The 24,842-nt window shown below is 39.1% G+C and overlaps 1 protein-coding gene across 13 annotated transcripts in view; it reads right to left on the reverse strand.

The window, feature by feature from the left end:
• The window catches only part of GAB3 (GRB2 associated binding protein 3), a 76,318-nt gene that overhangs the window by 3,261 nt on the left and 48,215 nt on the right, over positions 1–24,842 (reverse strand). For 11 of the 13 annotated variants that reach the window (NR_104114.2, XR_938505.2, XM_047441835.1 and 8 more), the window contains 5 exons: positions 21,495–21,550; positions 20,785–21,004; positions 18,623–18,704; positions 17,408–17,510; positions 1,623–1,739 (listed from right to left, as the gene is read on the reverse strand). Coding sequence is in view for 11 of the 13 variants with exons in the window: in XM_047441835.1 (XP_047297791.1) it covers positions 1,623–1,739; positions 17,408–17,510; positions 18,623–18,704; positions 20,785–21,004; positions 21,495–21,550 (578 nt within the window). In the remaining 2 variants the exon portion in view is untranslated. The remainder of the gene's footprint in view (positions 1–1,622; positions 1,740–17,407; positions 17,511–18,622; positions 18,705–20,784; positions 21,005–21,494; positions 21,551–24,842) is intronic. The other 2 variants (XM_011531106.2, NM_001282283.2) reach the window with 1 other exon arrangement.

The following is a 24,842-nucleotide window of genomic DNA, read 5'->3' on the forward strand; positions in this document are numbered from 1 at the left end:
GTGGAAGTGACATGGCCTGGCATGGCGGCACGTGCCTGTAATCCCAGCACTTTGAGAGGCTGGGATGTGGTTTGGCTGTGCCCCCACTCAAATCTCATCTTGAATTGTAGTTCCCATAATCCCCATGTGCCCTGGGAAGGACCTGGTGGGAGGTAATTGAATCAAGGGGATAGTTACCCTCATGCTGTTCTCATGATAGTAAGTTCTCAAGAGATCTGATAGTTTTATAAGGGGCTTTCCCCATTTCATTCTGCACTTCTCTTTCCTGCCACCATGTGAAAAAGGATGTGTTTCCTTCCCCTTCCACCATGATTGTAAGTTTCTTGAGGCTTCCCCAGCCACGCTGAATTGTGAGTCAATTAAACCTCTTTCCTTTATAAATTACCCAGTCTCAGGTATTTCTTCATAGCAGTGTGAGAATGGACTAATACAGAGGCCAAGGCAGGAGGATCACTTGAGCCCAGGAGATCAAGATCATTTTTTATTAAAAAATAAAAAACAGCCGTGGGTGATGATGTGCAACTGTAGTACCAGCTACTTGGGAGGCTGAGATGGGAGGATAACTTTAGCCCAGGAGATCGAGGCTGCAGTGAGCTATGACCATGCCACTGCACTCCAGCCTGAGTGACAGAGTGAGATCTTGACTCAAGAAAACAAAACAATAATAACAAAAAGGAAGTGACATGTTCCAATCCTAAGGAGAAAGAGGTATTCTGTGATTCTGCAATCTCTCTTTTTCCTCTGCCAGGAGGCCAGCACACTTCAGATGGGGGCTGCTTCTCTTGCCTCGGCCCTGGACTGGAGATGACCTGGAACACAAAGGCTCTGGCCTGCAATAAAAGAGCCTTTGTGTTGAAAGCAGATGAGATTTGGGGGTTGTTTGTCTACCAAAACTGACTAATGCTCCTTTTATACTTATTGCTCCCACCCTTCTTACCAGCTTTTCTCCAGTCTCATATCAGGTTTTTGGAACGATATTAAAAGTAGAAAACAAGTAGGAGTTACCTCAGCAAAAGAGGAGGAAAGTCCTCAGTTGTTTCCCATGCACTCATTCCTTACGCTGTACAGTGGGTGATACTAGTTCACAGATATGATAACTTACATGTATTAACTCAATTAATCCTCACAACAGCCCTTGACATAAGTGTTGTCATTTCTGATTCCCATTTTTCAGATGAGAATTCTACCCAAAGGGGTAGCTGCCCAACTCAGCATTCAAGGCCCCTTACTTCCAACTTACAGTTCTTTCCACTGCTCCCTCAAGTCTAACCAAACTAGACTATTACTTGTTCCCTAAACAGGATGTTCCTACACCTGGAGGGTCCTCTACCCGACCCTCATTTCTGCCTGAGATATTTTTCTATAAACTTTTTGGTCCAAATTTTGAAGTGTGAATATCACATCTATTTATACATACACACACAAAGAACACACCCTAGAAGGAAATACACCAAGATTTCATTCTCTCTGGGAGGCAGGATGAGGGCCGATTTTAATATTCTTCATTATACATGTCTGCATTTTTAACACTTTCTAAGGAGAATATGCATGGTTTGATAATCAGAAAAGTCTAGGCAGAGATGGAATCACCTGGGAATTCTTAGACACAAAGCCCTTCCTACCTGCTGCATGGGGGCTGGTGATGCTGAATTGAAGTCCAGGGCCAAATAATCTAGGCTGAATTTCTTTGTCCACGTAAGGGCACCACTGCTCAGGGAACTGGCTGTTCGGTGCTCCTCCTAGGAACCAACATCACAGGAGTCAGGTTAATGATGTCTATCTTGGTTGCTCAAGGGAAGGAGGGCAAGTTGTGGCTTCACCCAAGCAGCTGCCATCAGATCGTAACAGAATAGTCTGATGAGACCTGAGTCAATCAGCCTGCATATCTGAGTGAGAACTGTAATTTCAAACAGAATATAGCCAATTTGGCCTTCGCAATGAAACCATACCATTATTCACCATGGGAACAGTTTGCCAAAATTCACTCAAAAAGGAATTTGCTTCACGAATCTGACAGGCCTGTGATACTTCAGAGATTAAACCCTAACAAGATCAACTATACTTATTAAAGTTCTCGTGAAGGCATCCCAAATGCACTTAAATATAGTTTGCACAATACAAACAGTTATAACACAGATGAAAATCAGGGCCCAGCTTCAGAAGTGCAATGCTACCAATCCATATCTTTGAAGCTGTTTCCCCTGTACCATCTTTCCTTCTCCTCCCAAGAGGTAAAGCACTATCTTGAATTTTGTGCTTACCACTCCTTTTACTTTTAAATATAGTTTTATGAGTATGCAAGTATCCTTAAATAACAGACTATTTCATTTTGCCTGTTTTTGAATGTCATATCAACAGAATCACATTGTATGCATTTTGGGCGGCTTCAGTTTTGTGTTCAATATTAGGTACTCCACATTCACTTGTGTCGAAGCATTAGCCCTATTTCACTCATTTGCAGTGGGTCAGATATTCCATTGCATGACTTATTTAATCATTCTGCCATCAAAGGATATTTGAGTTGCTCCCAGTTTGGGGGCTATTGTAAGCAATGCTGCCATGGGCATTCATGCACCTGTGGGAGAAATTCTAGGGCATTTACTTGGGAATAGAATCACTGGGTTATAGGATATGAGTATCTTCAACTTTACTAAATATCACCAAACTATTTTCCAGAGTGAACCAATCTACACGTGTACCAGGAGTGTATAAGAATTTCTATTGCTTCCCATCCTGGCCAACACTTGGTATTGTCAGAGTTTTTAACATTTTTCCTACCTGAGACAGGTAAAATGGTATCTTACTGTGGTTTGATTTTCCATTCCCCTGATTATTAATTAGTATGAGCACCTGTTCATATGTTGAAAGGTCATTTGTTTATTTCTCCTCTGTGAATTGCCTGTTTGGGTTTGTTTTGTTTTTTGGGTTTTTTTTTTTGCCTTGTTTCTGGTTAATTTTTGTATTGAATTATTTGTATATTTTTCTTACTTACCCTTAGTACTTTTTCCTCTGCCCTGGAGAGTAATCATTTGCTATCATGTATGTTGCAGATAGCTCATCACAGTCTAGCTTCTTGTCTTTTCATTTCTTTTTATGGTATTTCTTTTGACTAAGAAATACTTTTAATGTAATGTCGATCTTTTCCTGTATGGCTTACATTATGTTTAAGGAATCCTTCCCTATGCTGAGGTCATAATTTATTTCTCTATATTTTTCCTGAAATTATAATGTTTTGCAATAATTTGCTTCACGTTTAAGCAATAATCTCACTTGAATGGATTTTAATATTGTATATGGTGGTGCAATAGAAATAAAATTCATTCCATTTTTGTTGTTGTTTTTACTCAACATGGATAACCTGGTTTCCCCCAGAATGTCTTGCGTGATCTTGACCCTTTTAGAATCAGCTTCAAAGTTCCTCAAAAATCTCTGTTAGGGAATTGGTTAGATAATGTCTTTAATATTTGAGTCTTCCTATTCAGGAACATGGTCTACTTTTCCACTTATTTCATTCTCCTTAATGTCTTTCAATAAGTTTTAATAATTTTCTCCACAATATTTTTTGTTAGGTTTATCGCTAAATGCCTAGAGTTTGTTGTTACTGTAAATGGTAAGTTTTGTTTAAATTCTTTTTTCTGTTTGTTACCATTATCTAGACAGTGAACTGGATTGTGTATATTGATTTTATATCCATCAATCTTGATATCTTTTATTAATTGTAATTATTTATTTTACTAACTTAGTAATTCTAATTATTTCTAAGTAGATTATTTCGAGTTATCATTCATATAAGCAGATTATTTTGAGTTATCGCTTCATCTAAGAATAATCACTCTTTGTCTTCTTCCTTCCTTTCCAATTCTTATTCATTTTGTTTCTTTAGGAGATGTTTTTAGCTTTTAACCACTGAGTATGATATCTACTACAGGTTCTATAAGATTCATTTTTCATTTGTTATGAGGTTAGAGAAAATTCCTCTATTCCTTGTTTACTAATAGATTTTTTCATGAATAGATGTTGAGTTCTATCAAATGCTTTTTCTGCATCTAGTAAGATAATATATCATTTTTCTCCTTTAATCTGTTAATGTGCTTGGTTGACTTAATAGATATTCCTGGTTTATGGTTGTAATAGCTCATCTCTCTGAGAATATTGGTAATAATAGAGTTTTAAAAAGGCTTTTCCTAGCTGGGCGCAGTGGCTCACACCTTTAATCCCAGCACTTTGGGAGGCCGAGGCGAGCGGATCACTTGGGGTCAGGAGTTCAAGACCAGCCTGGCCAACATGGTGAAACTCTGTCTCTACTAAAAATACAAAAATCTGCCAGGCATGGTGGCGCATGCCTGTAGTCCCAGCTACTTCGGAGGCTGAGGCAGGAGAATTGCTTGAACCCGGGAGGCAGAGGTTGCAGTGAGCTGAGATTGCACCACTGCACTCCAGCCTGGGTGAAAGAGTGAGACTCCGCCTCACAAAAAAATAAAATAATAAATAAATAAAAAGACTTTTCCTTCTGGCATAGTTCTTATTTCCTCCAATCTGTTTTGATTTCAATCTTTCATGCTAGAGTTCTCCTGAAATGTCACATGAAATCACTGACTGTTGCTTATACTTACGAGCGAAAGACCAAAAAGCTAACGTGGAGCTTTGTGTACATGGATGGTGTTTGTCAGCTCTGGAGTTTTCTGCAGGGTGATCCCATTGGGTGGTTATCTTGAGTAACCCCCAATATTAGGAACTACGTTTTGCCACTTGGGCTGCTCAAATAGCCCAGAGAAATATTTTCTAATCTCCAAACTCAATTGTAATGGTCTGGTTGTCAACATTCTGGAAAAGGGCTTGAGAATGGTTCTCATATCCATTATGCCTATTTACTTAATCACCTTGTCGTTAGTATAGTATTCGTGGTCAAATATGTCTAGTATCCCCCAGTGCAGAGACCTTTTGTTTTACTCTCTCCAGAGAGACTGAACTTCAACTTTTCTATGAGATGGGGGATGGAAAGTCACAGTGTTTCACCTCCATGGAGTGAGGGAAGGGATCTTGGAATTTACCTGATGCCTTTGACCATTACTGCTTCTTTTACTTTCCCTTCAACCCTACTTCAGAACTACCTACTGTGGACAATTCCTGAACTCTTTGGGTAGTCTGCAGTATAAGTCAAGTTGCTTCTTGCCTTCCTTCCACCACATTTAAGATTTAATTTTTTTGTGGGGGGGAGGGGTCTTGTAAGTCATTTACTACATATCTACCTGCATTCTAGTTTCCAATATGTTACTGCTATTTTCTTCTCCAATTCTTCATATCTTTGTGGGTTTATGCCTTTAACAGATTTCTTTACTGTTATTTTAGAGGGTGTTTGGGGATGGAGAGAAATTGGAAGCTTGCGGTCAATCTTCCATTTGAGGTTCATGTGTCAGCACTTTATTTCTTTTTGTGGCTGCATAATACAATGGAATATTATACTACATTTTATTATATATTATACTACATTTTATTCACACATTCATCAGTCGATGATCATTTGAGTTGTTTTCCCTTTCTGGCTATTATGAAAAAATGCTTCTATGAACATTTGTGTACGAGTATTTGGTTAGACATATTCTTCTTTGGGATTTTAAAATCCGCATCCACCAGTAACATTGGCCTACAGCTTTCTACTTATGTAATTGCTATTTGTTTTATCAAATTATTTTAGCCTCATAAAGTAAGGTGGGTAATATTCTCTTCTCCCATTCCTGGTAGGTGTTTATATAAGATTGCACTTATCTCTTCTTTTTGGTCGAAACTATCTGTAAAGTTTTTTGGGCCTTATGATCCTTTGTAGTACAAATTTTCCTACTGATTCAGTGTCTTTAATAGGTACATAAACATTCAGGTTTTCTAATTCTACTTGAGTCAATTTCTGATTTTTTTTTAATCCAGAGAATTTGCCTATCACAAAAGTTTTCAAATTTATTGGTACAGAGTTGTTCACAAAATTCTCTTAGGTAGTTAATCTCTCATGTATTTGTAATTATTATCTGTTCTTCATTCTTAATATTACTTATTTGTATTCATATCTTTTGTATTAGTTTTGTTAAATTTTAGTCTTTTTAAAGAGCCAATTACAGCTGTATTGATCCTCTCTGATTTTGTTATTTTGTTAGTTTCTGCTTTTGCCTTTATTCTTTCACTTTTGTAGGGTTTTTCTAAACTTATTATTATAAAATTTTTCCAGCAATCAGCCAAATTAAAGAAAATATACCCACCATGTATACTCCACTAACATTTTATTATACTAACCTGCTTGTAAGTCTTTGGGCTTGTGGAGGAATGGTACCTTTCATGAACTGTGAGCAACTCTAGCATTATCCCTTGACATATTGCCTCTCTCCTATGGTTCTATAATCTTCTTCAGCAACTCTGACTATACAAATATTTGACCTTCTTATTCTATCTTCCATGTCCCAAATTTCTTTCATATTCTCCATGTTTTTAACTCCTCGTTCTGATTTATTAGTAACTTATTCATAAATTATCTTCCAGCTCACTAAATCACTCTTTGTGCTTAGTCTGTTTATCTCATCCATTGAGTTTCTAATTTCATTCTTGTTTTTATTTCTACAAGTTGTAAATGGTCTTTTACAATCTACTTGGCCATTTTTAATAGTATCTCATTACTTAATCCAACTTTCAATTTCTCATTTATTTCTTTAAATATAGTAAAACTACTTATTTTATATTCAAAATCCAGTGTTTCCAAAAACTGCCTACTTCCATATTTGATTCTATTGTTTGTAATTCTTATTAATTTGGGGGGTTGCTGTTTCTCAATATTTTTGGCCCCAGAGATTTCTTTTCCCTTCCCTTCTTGTCAGCTGAGTTTTAGACTTAAAAATGTATCATATTTATAATAAGAGGTGTTTTTCATGCTATCTTGCCTACCAAAGTGTTCCATCAAATTTTAAAAATAGAATAAATGTAGTTTCACCTCCAGTAATGTTGAATAAAGTAATTTTGATCACCCTTCCTGCTGAGAACAATATTTTTTTCCTTTTTTGGTAGAAATTAAAAAATTGTTTCTAAAATTTTTATGGGAGTAGAAAAGTCAAAGAAAAAAAACAAAAAAAACCTAGAGGAAGGTAAACAAAGCAGGACTTACTTTCCTTGATATTGAGTCTTATAAAGCTACAGCAACTAAGGGAGTTTGTATTGTTCAAAGATAGACAGGGAAACCAACAGAATAGAATTAAGAGTCCATAAAAAACCCGTACATATATGGATATTTGATTTATGGCAAAGATGGCACTGCCGAATTGTCAGTAAATGATAGTCATTTTACATAAATGGTGCCAACCAATTAGATAAACATATGGGGAAAAATGAGTCTTGACCCCTATCTCACAGCACACACAAGTTAATTCAAGGTGGTATAATCCAAATGTGAAGGTAAAACTAGAAAACTCCTAGGAAATAACCATAATTCACCCGAGATCAAATAGATAATGATCCTGTATTAAAGAAATTGAATTCACCCAGAGGGTTTCACTGGTGAATTATACCAAAAATTTAAAGAATAAACAAAACTAATTCTACACGATCTGTTCCAGAAACTAGAAGAGGAGAGAACACTTCCTGAGGAGCCCGGCATGACCTTAATACCAAAACCACACAAAGACACTACAAAAACCTAAAGATCAACACCCATTAGGAACACAGACATGAAAATCCTCAACAAAATATTAGCAGATGAAATGCAGCAATATATACAAGGAAATAATACACCATGACCAAATGGGGTTTATCTAGAGAATACAAGACTGGCTTAAAGCCTGGTACAGTGGCTCATGCCTATAATCCCAGCATTTTAGGAGGCTGAGGTGGGAGGATGGCTTGAGCTCAGAAGTTCAAGACCAGCCTGGGCAACATAGTAAGACCCTGTCTCTACCAAAAAAAAAAAAAAATCCCAAGAAATCTGAGGAAAATAAAAACCTCCTATAATTAATAAGTTAATTCAGCAATCTCAAACTCTTGGGCTCAAGGGATCTTCCTGTCTCAGCCTCCTGATTAGCTGGGACTATAGGCACAGCTACTATGCATGGTTAATTTTTAATAACATTTTTGTAGAGACAGGGTCTCACTTTGTTGCCCAGGCTGGTCTTGAACTCTTGGGCTCAAGCCATTCTCCCACATCAGCCTCCACAAAGTCCTGGGATTACAGGTGCGAGCCACTGAACTCAGCCAATCATATTTCTATATACCACCAATGGGTCATTGGAAGCTGAAATTTAAAAAATACTATTTATAATAGTTCCAAAAATGAAATACTTAGATATAAATCTAATAGGACACACATAAGATCTATGTAAAAATTACAAAATTATGAGGGGAAAAAAATCAAAGAAAATCTGAATAAATGAGCCAGGCGCGATGGCTCATGCCTGTATTCCCAGCACTTTGGGAGGCTGAGGCAGACGGATCACTTGAGGTCGGGGGTTCGAGACCAGCCTGGCCAACATGGTGAATCCCTGTCTCTACTAAAAATACAAAAAAGTAAGCCAGGCCTGGTGGCGTGTGCCTGTAATCCCAGCTACTTGGGTGGCTAAGACATGACAATCACTTGAACCCGAGAAGGGGAGGTTGCAGTGAGTCGAGATTGTGCCACTGCACTCCAACCTGGGTGACAGAGCAAGACTCTATCTCAAAAAAAAGAAAAAAACAAAACAAAAAAAACAAAAACCAATCTGAGTAAATGGAAAGATATACTGTGCTCAGTAATTGGAAGATTCAGAATAGTAAAGACTCAATTCTCAAATGTATGTATAGATTTAATGCAATTCCAACTAAAAAAAAAAGTGTTAGGCCAGGCGTGGTGGCTCACGCCTGTAATCCCAGCACTTTGGGAGGCTGAGGCGGGCGGATCACAAGGTCAGGAGATCAAGACCATCCTGGCTAACACGGTGAAACCCCGTCTCTACTAAAAAAGATACAAAAATTTAGCCAGGTGTGGTGGCGGGCGCCTGTAGTCCCAGCTACTCAGGAAGCTGAGGCAGGAGAACAGCATGAACCTGGGGGGCGGAGCTTGCAGTGAGCCGAGATGGCGCCACTGCACTCCAGCCTGGGTGACAGAGCGAGACTCTGTCTCAAAAAAAAAAAAAAAAAAAAAAAAGTCTTAGCAGGATATTTTTGTAGATAAAGAACATCTGACTCTAATTATACATGGAAAGGCAAAGGAAGTAGAATAACAAAAACAAGTTTTAAAAACAAGAATGATGTTAGAGAAAATAAACTTCCTGATTTTAAAATTTACTCCAAAGCTACAATAATCAAGACTGTATGGCATAGGCAAAGAGACAATGGAACAGAATAGAAAATCTACACAAATATGTCCAACTGATTTATTACAGAGGTGCAAAGAAAATTCAATGAAGAAAGGATTATATTTTCCATAAATGGTACTGAAACATTTGGACATCCATATGCAAAATGTCAGCTTCGACTTCACCTCACATCTCATACAAAAATAAACTTAAAATGGATCATAGACCTAAATGTAAAACCATAATTCTTTTAGAAGGAAATAAAGGAGAAAATTCTAATGAACTAAGGTTAGGCAGAGTTCTTAGACATAACAATCCATTAAGGAAACAAAATCAATAAATTGGACTTAATTAAATTTTTAAATGTTTGCTCTGCAAAAGACAGAAGAGAATGGAAAGACAAGCTCCAGATACGGAGAAAATATTTGCAAACTATATATCCATTGGAGGACTTGGGTTTTTTTTGTTTTGTTTTTGTTTTTTTTTTTTGAGACAGAGTCTTACTCTGTCACCCAGGCTGGAGTGCAGTGGCATGATCTTGGCCCACTGCAACCTCTGCCTCCCGGGTTCAAGCAATTCTCCTGCCTCTGCCTCCCGAGTAGCTAGGACTACAGGCACGTGCTACCAAGCCCAGCTAATTTTTGTATTTTTAGTAGAGACAGGGTTTCACCATGTTGGCCAGGCTGGTCTCGAACTCCTGCCCTCAGATGATCCTCCCACCTCAGCCTCCCAAAGTGCTGGGACTACAGGCGTGAGCCACCATGGCTGGCCCCTTTGGAGGACTTGTACACAGAATATATAAAGAACTCTCAAAACTCAATGTAAGAAAACAAACAACCTGATTTAAAAATTGGCAAAAAGATTGAACAGATACTCCACCAAAGAAAATATATGGATGGCAAGTAAACACACCAAAATATGTCCAACATAATTTACCATTAGGAAAGTACATGTTAGAGCCACACTGAGATACCAATATACATCCATCAGAAGGTAGAAAATTTAAAAATCTAGTAATACCAGAGGTACAAGGAGGAGCTGGTACCATTCCTTCTGAAACTATTCCAATTAATAGAAAAAGAGGGAATCCTCCCTAACTCATTTTATGAGGCCAGCATCATCCTGATACCAAAGCCGGGCAGAGACACAACAAAAAAAGAGAATTTTAGACCAATATCCTTGATGAACATTGATGCAAAAATCCTCAATAAAATACTGGCAAAACGAATCCAGCAGCACATCAAAAAGCTTATCCACCATGATCAAGTGGGCTTCATCCCTGGGATGCAAGGCTGGTTCAATATACGCAAATCAGTAAATGTAATCCAGCATATAAACAGAACCAAAGACAAAAACCACATGATTATCTCAATAGATGCAGAAAAGGCCTTTGACAAAATTCAACAGCCCTTCATGCTAAAATCTCTCAATAAATTAGGTATTGATGGGACGGATCTCAAAATAATAAGAGCTATCTATGACAAACCCACAGCCAATATCATACTGAATGGGCAAAAACTGGAAGCATTCCCTTTGAAAACTGGTACAAGACAGGGATGCCCTCTCTCACCACTCCTATTCAACATAGTGTTGGAAGTTCTTGCCAGGGCAGTTAGGCAGGAGAAGGAAATAAAGGCTATTCAATTAGGAAAAGAGGAAGTCAAATTGTCCCTGTTTGCAGACGACATGATTGTATATCTAGAAAACCCCATTGTCTCAGCCCAAAATCTCCTTAAGCTGATAAGCAACTTCAGCAAAGTCTCAGGATACAAAATCAATGTGCAAAAATCACAAGCATTCTTATACACCAACAACAGACAAACGGAGAGCCAAATCATGAGTGAACTCCCATTCACAACTGCTTCAAAGAGAATAAAATACCTAGGAATCCAACTTACAAGGGATATGAAGGACCTCTTCAGGGAGAACTACAAACCACTGCTCAAGGAAATAAAAGAGGATACAAACAAATGGAAGAACATTCCATGCTCATGGGTAGGAAGAATCAATATCGTGAAAATGGCCATACTGCCCAAGGTAATTTACAGATTCAATGCCATCCCCATCAAGCTACCAATGCCTTTCTTCACAGAATTGGAAAAAACTACTTTAAAGTTCATATGGAACCAAAAAAGAGCCTGCATCGCCAAGTCAATCCTGAGCCAAAAGAACAAAGCTGGAGGCATCACACTACCTGACTTCAAACTGTACTACAAAGCTACAGTAACCAAAACAGCATGGTACTGGTACCAAAACAGAGATATAGATCAATGGAACAGAACAGAGCCCTCAGAAACAACGCCGCATATCTACAACTATCTGATCTTTGACAAACCTGAGAAAAACAAGCAATGGGGAAAGGATTCCCTATTTAATAAATGGTGCTGGGAAAACTGGCTAGCCATATGTAGAAAGCTGAAACTGGATCCCTTCCTTACACCTTATACAAAAATTAATTCAAGATGGATTAAAGACTTAAGCGTTAGACCTAAAACCATAAAAGCCCTAGAAGAAAACCTAGGCATTACCATTCAGGACACAGGCATGGGCAAGGACTTCATGTCTAAAACACCAAAAGCAATGGCAACCAAAGCCAAAATTGACAAATCGGAACTAATTAAACTAAAGAGCTTCTGCACAGCAAAAGAAACTACCATCAGAGTGAACAGGCAACCTACAAAATGGGAGAAAACTTTCGCAACCTACTCATCTGACAATGGGCTAATATCCAGAATCTACAAAGAACTCAAACAAATTTACAAGGAAAAAACAAACAACCCCATCAAAAAATGGGCAAAGGACATGAACAGACACTTCGCAAAAGAAGATATTTATGCAGCTAAAAAACACATGAAAAAATGCTCACCATCACTGGCCATCAGAGAAATGCAAATCAAAACCACAATGAGATACCATCTCACACCAGTTAGAATGGCAATCATTAAAAAGTCAGGAAACAATAGGTGCTGGAGAGGATGTGGAGAAATAGGAACACTTTTACACTGTTGGTGGGACTGTAAACTAGTTCAACCATTGTGGAAGTCAGTGTGGCGATTCCTCAGGGATCTAGAACTAGAAATACCATTTGACCCAGTGATCCCATTACTGGGTATATACCCAAAGGACTATAAATCATGCTGCTATAAAGACACATGCACACGTATGTTTATTGCAGCATTATTCACAATAGCAAAGACTTGGAACCAAGCCAAATGTCCAACAATGACAGACTGGATTAAGAAAATGTGGCACATATACGCCATGGAACACTATGCAGCCATAAAAAATGATGAGTTCATGTCCTTTGTAGGGACATGGATGAAATTGGAAATCATCATTCTCAGTAAACTATCGCAAGGACAAAAAACCAAACACCGCATGTTCTCACTCATAGATGGGAATTGAACAATGAGAACACATGGACACAGGAAGGGGAACTTCACACTCTGGGGACTGTTGTGGGGTGGGGGGAGGGGGGAGGGATAGCATTGGGAGATATACCTAATGCTAGATGATGAGTTAGTGGGTGCAGCGCACCAGCATGGCACATGTATACATATGTAACTAACCTGCACATTGTGCACATGTACCCTAAAACTTAAAGTATAATAATAATAAATAAATAAAAAAGAAAAAAAAGAACAAAATACTTAGGAATAAATTTAACCAAGGAGGCAAAGACTTATACATTGAAAACTGTAAGAAAGAAAGTAAAGGAGACATAAGTAAATGAAAAGATATCTGTGTTCATGAATTGAAAGACTTAATATTGTTAACATGATAATATTATGCAAAACGGTTTGCAGATTCAAAGCATTCCCCATCAGAATTCCAATGGTCTTTTTTTGCAGAAATAAAAAACCCTGTCCTTAAAGTTCACGTGTAATATTAAGTGACCCTTAAATGACAAATCAATCATAAAAAAGAAGAACAAAGTTGGAAGACTCATACTTTCTGATTTCAAAGCTTACTACAAAGCTACACTAATCAAAACATTGTGGTACTGGCATAAGGATAGACATATAGACCAAGAAATAAACCCTTGCATATATTGATTTTCAACGAGATTTTCAATGAGAGCGCCAGGACCATTCGACATGGAAAGGATAGTCTAGACTTTCCAACAAATGGTGCTGGGAAAACTGAATGTCCACAAGCAAAAGAATGACGTTGGCCTCTAACTTTATACCACATACAAAAATTAACTCAAAAAAGATCAAAGATCTAAACATAAGAGCTAAAACTATAAAACTTTTAGAAGAAAACATAGGAGAGAATCTTCATGACATTGGATTTGGCAATGATTTCATGGATATGACGCCAAAAGCAAGGCAATAAAAGGAAAGAAAATTTTGACTTCATCAAAATAAAAAACTTCTGCGCATCAAAGGACACTATCAAGAGAATGAAAAGACAACCCACAGAATGAGAGAAAATATTTGGAAATCATGTATCTGATAAGGGGTTAACATCCAGAATATATTTTAAAAATTCCTATAACTCAACAACAAAAAAAGAAACAACCTAACTTAAAAATATGCAAAGGACTTGAATAGACAGTTCTCCAAAGAAGATATATAAATGGCCAATAAGTACATAAAAAGATGTTCATTAATCATTAGGGAAATGCAAATGAAAACCACAATGAGATACCAATTCACACCCGTTAGGATACCCATTATAAAAAATGATAAATAGGTCGGGTGTGATGGCTCACGCCTGTAATCTCAGCACTTTGGGAGTCCAAGGCAGGCGGATCACATGAGGTCAGGAGTTCGAGACCAGCCTTGCCAACATGGTGAAACCCCATCTCTACTAAAAATGCAAAAATTAGCCGGGCATGGTGGTACACGCCTGTAATTCCAGCTACTCAGGAGGCTGAGGCAGGAGGATTGCTTGAACCTGGGAGGCAGAGGTTGCAGTGAGCCGAGCTTGCGCCACTGCACTCCAGCCTGGGCAACAGAGCGAGACTCTGTCTCCAAAAAAAAAGATAAATAAAAATTGTTAGTGAGGATGTGGAGAAATTGGAACCCTTGTGCGTTACTGGCAGTAATGTAAAATGGTGCAGTCACTGTGGAAAACAAGTTTGGTGGTTCCTTAAAAAGTTAAGCATAGAATTACCATATGATCCAGAAATTCCACTTCTACATATATATATACAAACAAATTGAAAGCAGGAAGTCAAGCATACACTTGTATGCCAATGTTTATAGCAGCATTATTCATAATAGACAATGGTAGGAACAACCCTAAATGCCCATTAGCAGATGAATGGATGAACAAAATGTGGTCAGCCTTAAAAAGAAATGAAATTCTGTTGGATCCTACAATATGGATGAATCTTGAAAACACTAGATGAAATGAAAGAAGACAAACACAAAAGGACAAATATTGTATGACTTCACTTATATGAGGTACCTAGAACAGGTAAGTTCATAGAGACAGAAAGTAGAGCTTTACTACAAGAAAAATATTTTTCAAAAACTGTAAAAGAAAGCATCTAACAGTTCTAATTGCCTAAAAACTTGAAAAAAATCCAAATGTCTTCCATGGGTGAGGGGACAAACAAGATATGACACATCCATATGCTTGAACACTGCTCAGCAATAAAATGGAAAGAGCTGTTAATACATGTAACAATGGATGAATTTCAAAAAAACCATTCTGAGTGAAAGAAGCCAGTTTTAAAAGGTACCGTATGATTCTATTTTTGTGGCATTCTTGAAAGGACAATACTATAGTCATGAAGAACAGATCAATGGTTGCTAGGGGTTACAGGTGAAGGGAGGATGTGGCTCTAAAGAGGTAGCATGAGGGATTTTGGAACCGTTGTGTACTCTGATCATGGTGGTGGTTACGCAAATCTCTATATATGTTCAAACTCATAGAACTGCACACCAAGAGAAAGTCAATTTCACTGTATGATGTAAAAATGATCTAAAAATGTAAAAGTATTGTAATACCATAATCAAAAAATTAATGTGAGATTTAAGAGGCTAGAACTCTACTATAAAAGCCTTACAAAGCTGTTGAAATCAAAGGGCTTGAAAAAGTGATAGAGAAGAAATCCCATATAATAAAATTATGTTTATTCTTCTAAATTTTCTATAATTTCACAAACATTTAAAGAAGGATATATGGCAAAACTTGTATTTCAGTAAAGCAAAACCGTGTTTCAGCCCCTGGCCTTAATCACTACATTCAGATCAGAACTTGCCCTTAAAGAGAAAAAAAAAAATTAACATATATACTTATGCACAAAATCAAAGTCAAATCATACTAGGTTTGACTACCATATTGGGCTGTTATGTGGCACAAGTGAAATAACGTAAATCAAAGTCATGTGAAACTGTCTTATTACTAAAGTTTAAAAAAACACAATTGAACAAGATGGGATAGCCTTTAAACATTTTTATACGACAGTTCCCAGATCATAGCTACTATCAGCCAGTGTTCTGGGTTCTTAATCTGCTGTGTCATGTTGCCTACTAATACACAGAGACAGTCATTGATCAGTGATTATAAACCTAGGTAAACAAACGATTCTTAGCTTTGTTGTTAATGAAACACTGATCTTTCTCTGTTTTTTTTTTTTTGAGACAGAGTCTGGCTCTGTCGCCCAGGCTGGAGTGCAGTGGCGTTATCTCGACTCACTGCAAGCTCTGCCTCCCGGGTTCCTGCCATTCTCCTGCCTCAGCCTCCCAAGTAGCTGGGACTACAGGCGCCCGCCACCACGCCTGGCTAATTTTTTGTATTTTGTATTTTTAGTAGAGAAGGGGTTTCACCGTGTTAGCCAGGATGGTCTCGATCTCCTGACCTTGTGATCCGCCCGCCTCAGCCTCCCAAAGTGCTGGGATTACAGGCGTGAGCCACCGCGCCCAGCCAACACTGATCTTTCTCACAACATCAAAGATCAGAAATGAACTGTTGGTATCTGGAATGACTCTGTACTTGCTTCCATTGGGTTTTAGATTCACTTCCTTTTTCTGTTCTCTGGAGACAGAGCACAGCTGTTAAGCATCGTTTTATAAGAGTGTTTTCTTCTAGAAATTTCCCAAGGGCCATTACTAAGTGTCAGAAATATTGGGAAGACCATAACAGATTTGTATATGAGTCACTTTGCATCTGCATACGGTTAAGTGCACTTACAGCATGATTTGAATAAAATAAGAAGGTAAAATGAAGCATTTAATTATAGCTTAACTGGAGATTACTATTTTTAGATTTTCAGTTGCTGATTATCCTTGCATATAGGAAGGCAGAATTGTCTTCTCAAGAGTATATTGTCACAGAGCCTTGAACATTGTCCTTCTAAGATCTCTTTTCAAAATTTCGTAGTTCAAACAGAAGCTCTCTCTTGAGTTCCCTACATTTCTAAATTGCAGAACAGGCACTGTCATGGCTAAAGTGTCTGCTAATTGCCAGAGGTGCTAAAAGTTCCTCTCCATCTTCAAAAAGCCCATGTTCTCAATAGCATCCAAGATGAAGAGAATAGAAGGAACAACAGGCTAGAAGGGAAACATCAGGACTCTTTAACTGCAAATGGTTAATCAAGTCTCCATCCACTCAGGTCTATAGAAAGACCCATAATAGGAATCTTCCAGAGGCTAAGATACACTCACAGTCCAGGGCACTGTACCTTTCCCAATGGGACTCTAAGTGATTCATCCTCCAGGAAGGTTCAGAAGCAGTCAGGACAGGGCCACCAGGTGTTCTGGTGGAAGGGACCATGTAATATGTTGAGTTTTTACAATTTGAACTCTGGACATCCAGAGAACTACAAACCTATTGGGGTCAAACAGGACATCACAGCCTTGGTGAAAAGAATTGCTGGCATTTCCATTTTCAAATTAAGCAAGCCTCAGCCCTGAGCTATCTTGAAATACTGCAATCTCAAAATGGTATGAGGAGTTGAATGTTGCAGGAAAGAAAGCCAACTTCAAATTGATTTGTTCCAAGTCTAGAAAAGCTTGTGGCCTGGTTTTACGATCAAGTGGTTGTTTTAAAATTGCACAGGGCTTACTGAAGGATGTGTTTCCTTTACAATGAGCTCATAAGACTACAGATTGGGGTGAAGGATAAGAAGAGTGTGAAAAATATAAGATTACCATTTCGATGTAGCTTTCTTCGTCTTCTCTGGAAACAGGATTAGCAAAAAATCTTGCAGAATTAATACCATTTCTTTCTGGAGAGAGAAAGCTGGTTCGACTGCTAAGAATAAAAATATAGATGAGGTCAAAGCAATGTCTTACAGCTGCTCTGAAAGCTGGCCAGGAACTAACATGGCCCTCATGGGGTTTCAGCCCTCCTCTTCCAGACACAACTTCCTTCCGGCCAAAGCAATTCCTGAAGAGGCACAAAATGCCCAACAGTTTCTGCTCCACTTTGGGGCAAATGGCTCCCAATTCACAAAGGCTGCTTTTTCTCAGGCCCTCTATGTGACACAGCTCATGAGCTTTCTAAACGGACGAGGGCATCATATCATTTAGCAAAAAAAAAAAAAAAAAAAAAAAATACTCCTTTGGGGCCTTCTTGTTTCTATTCAATGTAAGGAAAAGTGAGGAAGTATGGCCATTCCTCTGATAGGACACAAGACTGCCAATCAACTCCCATCCTTCTCCTGAGTCAGAAGCATGAGCTGAGTCACAGTCTTGGCTGGAAATACAGCTCATTGCAGAATTCTGCTTTACAATGCAATTGTGTTTTGTGGCATTTAGAGTGAACCGAGAAACTCCTGAGCCAAGCTCAGGACTAAAAATGCAACTTCTAAAAGGTGAGATGAAAGGGTGCAATTACATTTTGAAGTCTGTCTACCCAGCCCGTGAACCTGGGAACTCCCTTGTCCTACCCCATTCACAAAGTTGGGCTTGGGCCATAGCCAGTTCCACTGAGACTGGGGAACACAATTCTCTCTCCCCAGGAAATCTGAATTGGCACTGAAAAAGAGCCCATCTGTTGGTACTGGAGTTGTAGCATGCAAACAAGTTCAGGGGGTATGGTACAGCTATCTTTGACCATGAGGATTGTGCAATAGAAAAGAATACTGCAAAGACAAAGGAATGCACAGATGTGAAGAGTGAAGCAGAAGTGAGTAGATTCCTTGGGTTCCCAACAGCACACTAGTTCCTGATTCCAGGATCCTGGGAGACCCAGACATATTCCTTCCTTTGTGATCCATAAAACAGCTCTTGCTCTCGATAATAAACCTCACCCCTCCTTTGGCTTAAGCTAGATCAGATGGGCTTCAACTACATTTAATCAGAGGCCTAACACACACCGGGGTGTCTGTGCTGGATGAGGCTCTTTTGAGCAATCAGTCTTACCAAGGCACAGTGCGGGTCCTGGTAAGAGATGCATGTTCCCGGATGATCGAGAGGTTTCTCAGGTCCAGAGGAGGTGGCCGTGCTACAAGACAGTGTGCAACATCCAGGAGGTCAAGGCCAGAGTCTAAAGACTGTAAAACTATGACATTTCACTTTCCCAGCACACCAAATCCACATTTACTAACAGGCAGCACTGATGATGAGGGTGAATTTCACTGTCCTCCTCTTCCCTGCCTCACTGGGAGTAAAGACAAATACTGAGCAAATGGTCACATTACCTGCTGGAGGTAACAACGTGGCAAGGCATTATTAAGAAGTCTCTGTATATCACGCGTGCTTCTAGGTGTCGAAGGCACAGGATGAATAAAGCAGATGAAAGTCTCTGACCTTGTGGAATTGCAACATCTATTACCTCACACCCGATGTGTCTGAAGTGGAAATGTTACCTTTCTTATCACAGGCAGAGATGATCACCCAGGTCCTAGTCTTCCCCACCTACAATCCATTGTCCACCTGATGATCCTTCTGCCTAGAACATTCTATCCCATCTCTTTGCCTCTAGACAAGATCAGGCCCCACAGCCTGGGCTCTCAAGTTCTTGTACTTACCCTTCACAGCACAGCCCCAGTTTGTGATAATACACTCATCTATGATTTATCTGGACCTAAACTGTGCTCCAGGAGAATAGGGGTGTATCTGGTTTGTTCACTGCAGTAGTCTCAGCACCTAGAAAAGCACTTGGTATCTGCCCCAACCCTTATTCCACCTCAGTGGCCCATCTTCTTGAGTTAGTCCTGGCTCAGGTATCCACCTTTGCATCCACTCATTAAATCTCCAACCCTGAGTCTGTCAGACATCTTCTGTTGCCTATCACAAGGTCCTGCAGAGCTGCACTGTCCATTGTCGTGACAACTAGCCACACGTGCCCATTTAGACATATATGTACATTTATTAAAATTAAATACAATTTAAAATGTAGTTCCTCAGTCACATTAGCCAAATTTCAAGGGTTCAATAGCCATTATCTCCAACATCACAGAAAGTTCTGTTGTTGTTTAATTGTTTCTGACCAGAATTAATGGCTATTTCCTCTGAACCTCATAAGACAGGGTCTGTTCTCCTATTTAGCACTGATTTCATAATTCTATTTCATGGTCCAGGTGGATTTTACATATCTTCCTCCCCCTCAGACTGAAGAACCCTCCTTGCTCCCTCATCTTTGTATCCCACCCAGTGCCCACCACAGCAATACATATGCAGCGCATGCATTGTAAATGTATAAATGTATTTTGACTGAAATTTAAGGGAATATGCCTGGAGTAGACCAGGCATGAGTAGGGGTCTTAGTTGGCAGCTTTGGGCACAGCCACCTGAAGTGACTTTTTTTGCTTTCTAAAGGGCAAAGAGAAGTTGGAATGCACGAGAGATCAGTCATTCTACCAATGCTTCCTTGTAATCACACAGCCAACTGGGAAGGGGAGGATGAGCAAGAATGAAGTTAAAAAGTCACTCTGACCTGCTCTTCCTCTTTCCCTCTTTTCCTATCTATCTCTCTGTCTGTCTGTGCTGCTTAGCAAACCAGAGAAGCTGCCTGGGAGTAAGACAGAAGCTGCAAGGCACCCCGTGCACAGAGGAGTCAGCCTGCTCATTGCCAAAATCCTCTTCTATCCCTGAATACCTCTGCTGACGGGCATGCACAGAACGATGAGTGATAAACTGCATGTGACTGGGTCTGACCTTCAGGAATTGGTGTCAAAGGCTATTCCTGACTGCCTTACAGAGGCTGGCACTATGATTACATTCAAGTGCTGTCTAATGAGGAGATGCCAGGTGGGATTCCATTCTAATCCACCATCACTTATTCCTGGGCCTTTGTTAGGGAAACAGCCAAAGACGAGCCCTCTGGAATGAACTTGGCTTTGTCAGCTGTATTTGCAAGGCCACAGTGCCTGTAAGTCTCCTGACTCCTATTATCATGACAATCTGGGGCAGCAAGGTGCCCCAGCCCTTCCTATTCCAACCCAGCCACTTCTTTCCTGACCTTACACTTTCCGGCCCTCTGGGGTGGTTTCTCTAGGTCTTCCTTTACAGAAACCTTTTCTATGCAACCACCGGAACCTTGCTCCCCTACCCCTGTACAGCAGGCCTGGTCAAGTGCTTACATTTCCTCTGAGGCTTGAGATCTCTATTCACTGGGGGAGGTTCCAGGTTTGCAGGCAGCTCAGGCAACGGGCTTGAGATGCTTCCTGAGTTCATTGGAATGTAGTCATCAGGGCTGCAGTGGGGTCCAAGACCAGAGGCACCAGCCTGGGGGCTCATGGGCACATAGCTGTCTTCGATACTGGCTGAAGCTGTGGGGTACATCGGGGAGAACCTGCATGGCTGCAAAAGAATAGATACAGATTGGGAACCACAGACCAGTCATGGAAACTGCTATCAGAGGGCGGCCAAAGCTGTACATATGGTTTCAGTTCCAAATTATCCAAGTATAACTCTGAACTTCCTCAGCAAAGTCAGACAAGCCTCTAGCTCAAGTTCTGCCTCTGGACTTATCGTTTTAGTATAGGCGATAAGTCTCCAAGATCTGACACTGGAAGACAGAGGGTTATGAGTTTATGCAAATGCTTTAAGCATAAAGTGATGCCTTAAGTAGCTATACCAAGTTGAGCAAGTGTCTGAACCATTAGAACCAATAAGGCCCTTATAGAACACCAAGTCCTGTAGTTCCCAAGCAAGTTCAAGTCTTCAGGGGAGACTGGAAGATTCCTCAGAGACTCAGAGTGCTGAATCTTAAAGATTTCAAGGGAATATACATAGATCAAGCTGTTTTTGGTAAAATTGATGCTTAAAAGAACCTGAATGTTGAACTTACCAAATTCAAACTAAGCCGCTTGTCTCGGTGTCTTAAGGATTGGCCTTCTACATCAGCTGCAAGAAATAAGCCAAGGTGGTGAGAAATGCAGAACAATATCAACTGAAACTAGAGTCCAGAGAGGCAGAGAAGCATAACACAACAGTTGCTATTAGAGTCTAGCTGGGCAGTCAGAACACATTTCCCCAACAGATGAAAAATCAGACCAGATTTTGAAGAAGTTTCTAGCCAATGGTTTGAGTTCTCTCTGTGAAATAGGAGGAGACATAGCAAGTAATTAACAAATTCTTATTGCATTTATTACATAAATCTTCTGAACTGGAGGCAGAACTGGAGGTTTGAGGAGAGGAGAGAGGTTTGAAATATTCCTTGTAACGAGCAGGAGAACAGGGTGAACAGAGAAACGATTGCCTTGTGGAGCAGCATTAAGGGCCCAATTGAGGTCTGTGACCAGAAAAGCTACTCAGGTAGACGCATGGAGAGAAAGGACATTTGGAGTTATCCAGGATTAGAAACTCATCAGATGGATGCAAGAAACAGTGTGATATTAAAATTTAGAATAATTTAGACCATAAGAGTAGATGAAACTATCTAGGTTGCAAGTGTTGAGAAAAATACAAAACTCTAGAGAATCCTAAGACTCAAAGAACTAAGAGATAAGTCAGTGAAGTATCTTGAGAAAGAGCAACCATAGATTAATGAGGAAACTTGGGGGTATGGTGCCATGAAAGCCTCAGGAAGGAAAGAATGGCCAACAGTGTTGAGTGGTGCAGAGAAGTTCAGCAAGTGCTCCCAGCATGTGGTGGCCAGAGCAAAGTGGCCCTCAGCCCTCAGCCCTCAAGAGCTTGGAGGTGTGAAAAGTCAGGAGGCCTCTAAGAAATAAACTTAAAATTCGACAACATCTTAAAATGCAAGGACAACTCCCAGCTCGGAAAAGATGTGACAGAGACTGATGGAATTAAGCATATATATTATATATACATATATGTGTATGTATATATGTATATATCTATGCTTACATATGTTTAAAGATGTACAAGTACTGGTTAAAAACTACTCTGAAGTCAGACTGTCTAGTTATAAATCCCTACACCACCATGTATTAGCTGTATGGCACTAGACAAGTTACTTACCCTCTCTATGTCTCAGTTTCCTATTTGTAAAGTGAAGCCAATAATATAACCTATTTCATAGGACTTCTGGAAAGGACATAGAACACTGCCTAGAACACAGAAAGTACTTAATAATTCTTAGAAACTATTATGGAATAATTTCTCATTGTGGGACTTGCATGTGTGAGCACAAGCCCTTAACTCCCTTTCCACTACCAGACCCTTTTAAAGCCATCAAATAACATAAATATAGAGAAAACTCTGAATCAAAGACATAGGTATAATCCATGTGCCAGATAATTTAAGAGATTTGTGACAGATAGAATGCAGATGGGATCAGAGTAAAGGAAGGCACTTTTTCTCTTATATGACAGCATTCATTGCAAGCTTCCTGAAATGCCCTTGGGCCTTAAGGGAACATGGGCAGACAGTACTCCCCATGGCCTGGGGTGGTGATAGCTATGGAGTGAGGCTCCTCTGCCTTATATTGGGAAAAACCTAAACACTACACAAGAAAACTATTAGAACTAATACACAAATTCAGTAAAGTTGCAGGCCACAAAATCAACATAGAAAAATCAGTAGCATTTCTATATGCCAACAGTGAACAATCTGTAAAAGAAATTAAAAAGTAATCCCATATACAATAGCCACACAAAAACTTAAATACCTAGGAATTAACTTAACCAAAGAAGTGAAAGACCTCTATAATGAAAACTATGAGACAATATTGAGGGAAATTGAAGAGTACACCAAAAAATAGAAAAATATTCCATGTTCATGTACTGGAAGAATCAACATTATTTAAATGTCCATACTACCCAAAGCAATCTACAGATTCAATGCAATCCCTACCAAAATACCTATTAAAGTCTTCACAGAAATAGAAAAAAAATCCTAAAATTTGTATGGAACCATGAAAGACCCAGAATAGCCAAAGCTATCCTAAGCAAAAAGAACAAAACTGGAAGAATCACATTACCTGACTTCAAATTATACTACAGAGCTATGGTAACCAAACAGCATGGTGCTGGCATAAAAACAGACACATAGACCAATGGAACAGAATAGGGAACTCAGAAACAAATCCACACACCTACAGTGAACTCATTTTTGACAAAGGTGCCAAGAACATACACTGGGAAAAAGATAGGCACATAAATAAATGGTGTTGGGAAAACTGGATATCCATACACAGAATAATTAAACTAAGACCCCTATCTCTCACCATATACAAAAATCAAATCTAAATGGATTAAACACTTAAATCTAAGACATCGAACTATAAAACTACTACAAGAAAACATTAGGGAAAAAACGCTAAGGCATCAAACTATAAAACTACTACAAGAAAACATTAGGGAAAATCTCGAAGACATTTGCCTGGACAAAAAAATTCTTCAGCAGTACACCAAAAGTACAGACAACCAAAGCAAAAATGGACAAATGGGATCACATGAACTTGAAAAACTTCTGCACAGCAAAGAATACAATCAACAGAGTGAAGAGACAACCCACAGAATGGGAGAAAATATTTGCAAACTACCCATCTGACAAGGGATTAATAAACAGAATATTTAAGAAGCTCAAACAACTCTATAGGAAAAAAGTCTAATAATCTGATTAAAAGATGGAACAAAGATTTGAATACACATTTCTCAAAAGAAGACAAACATATGACAAACAGGCATATGAAAAGGTGCTCAATGTTACTGATCATCAGAGAAATGCAAATCAAAACTGTCTCAAAAGAGACATACATGCAGCCAACAAGGATACAAAAAAGCTCAACATCATTGATCACTAAAGAAATGTAAATCAAAACCACAATAACATGCCATCCCACACCAGTCAGAATGGTTATTATTAAAAAGTCAAAAAATAACAGATGCTGGTGAGGTTGCAGAGAAAAGGGAATGCTTATAAACTGTTTTTGGGAATGTAAATTAGTTCAACCATTGTGGAAAACAGTGTGGTGATTCCTCAAAGACCTAAAAACAGAAATACCACTCAACCCAGCAGTCCCATCACTGGATATATACTCAAAGGAATATAAATCATTCTAACATAAAGACACATGCACGCATATGTTCATTTCAGCACTATTCACAATAGCAAAGACATGGAATCAACCTAAATGCCCATCGATGACAGATTGGATAAAGAAAATGTGGTCCATATACACCATGGCATACTATGCAGCCATAAAAAATAATGAGATCATGTCCTTTGCAGG

This window comes from Homo sapiens, chromosome X (assembly GCF_000001405.40).
Source record: "Homo sapiens chromosome X, GRCh38.p14 Primary Assembly".
Lineage (NCBI taxonomy): Eukaryota > Metazoa > Chordata > Mammalia > Primates > Hominidae > Homo > Homo sapiens.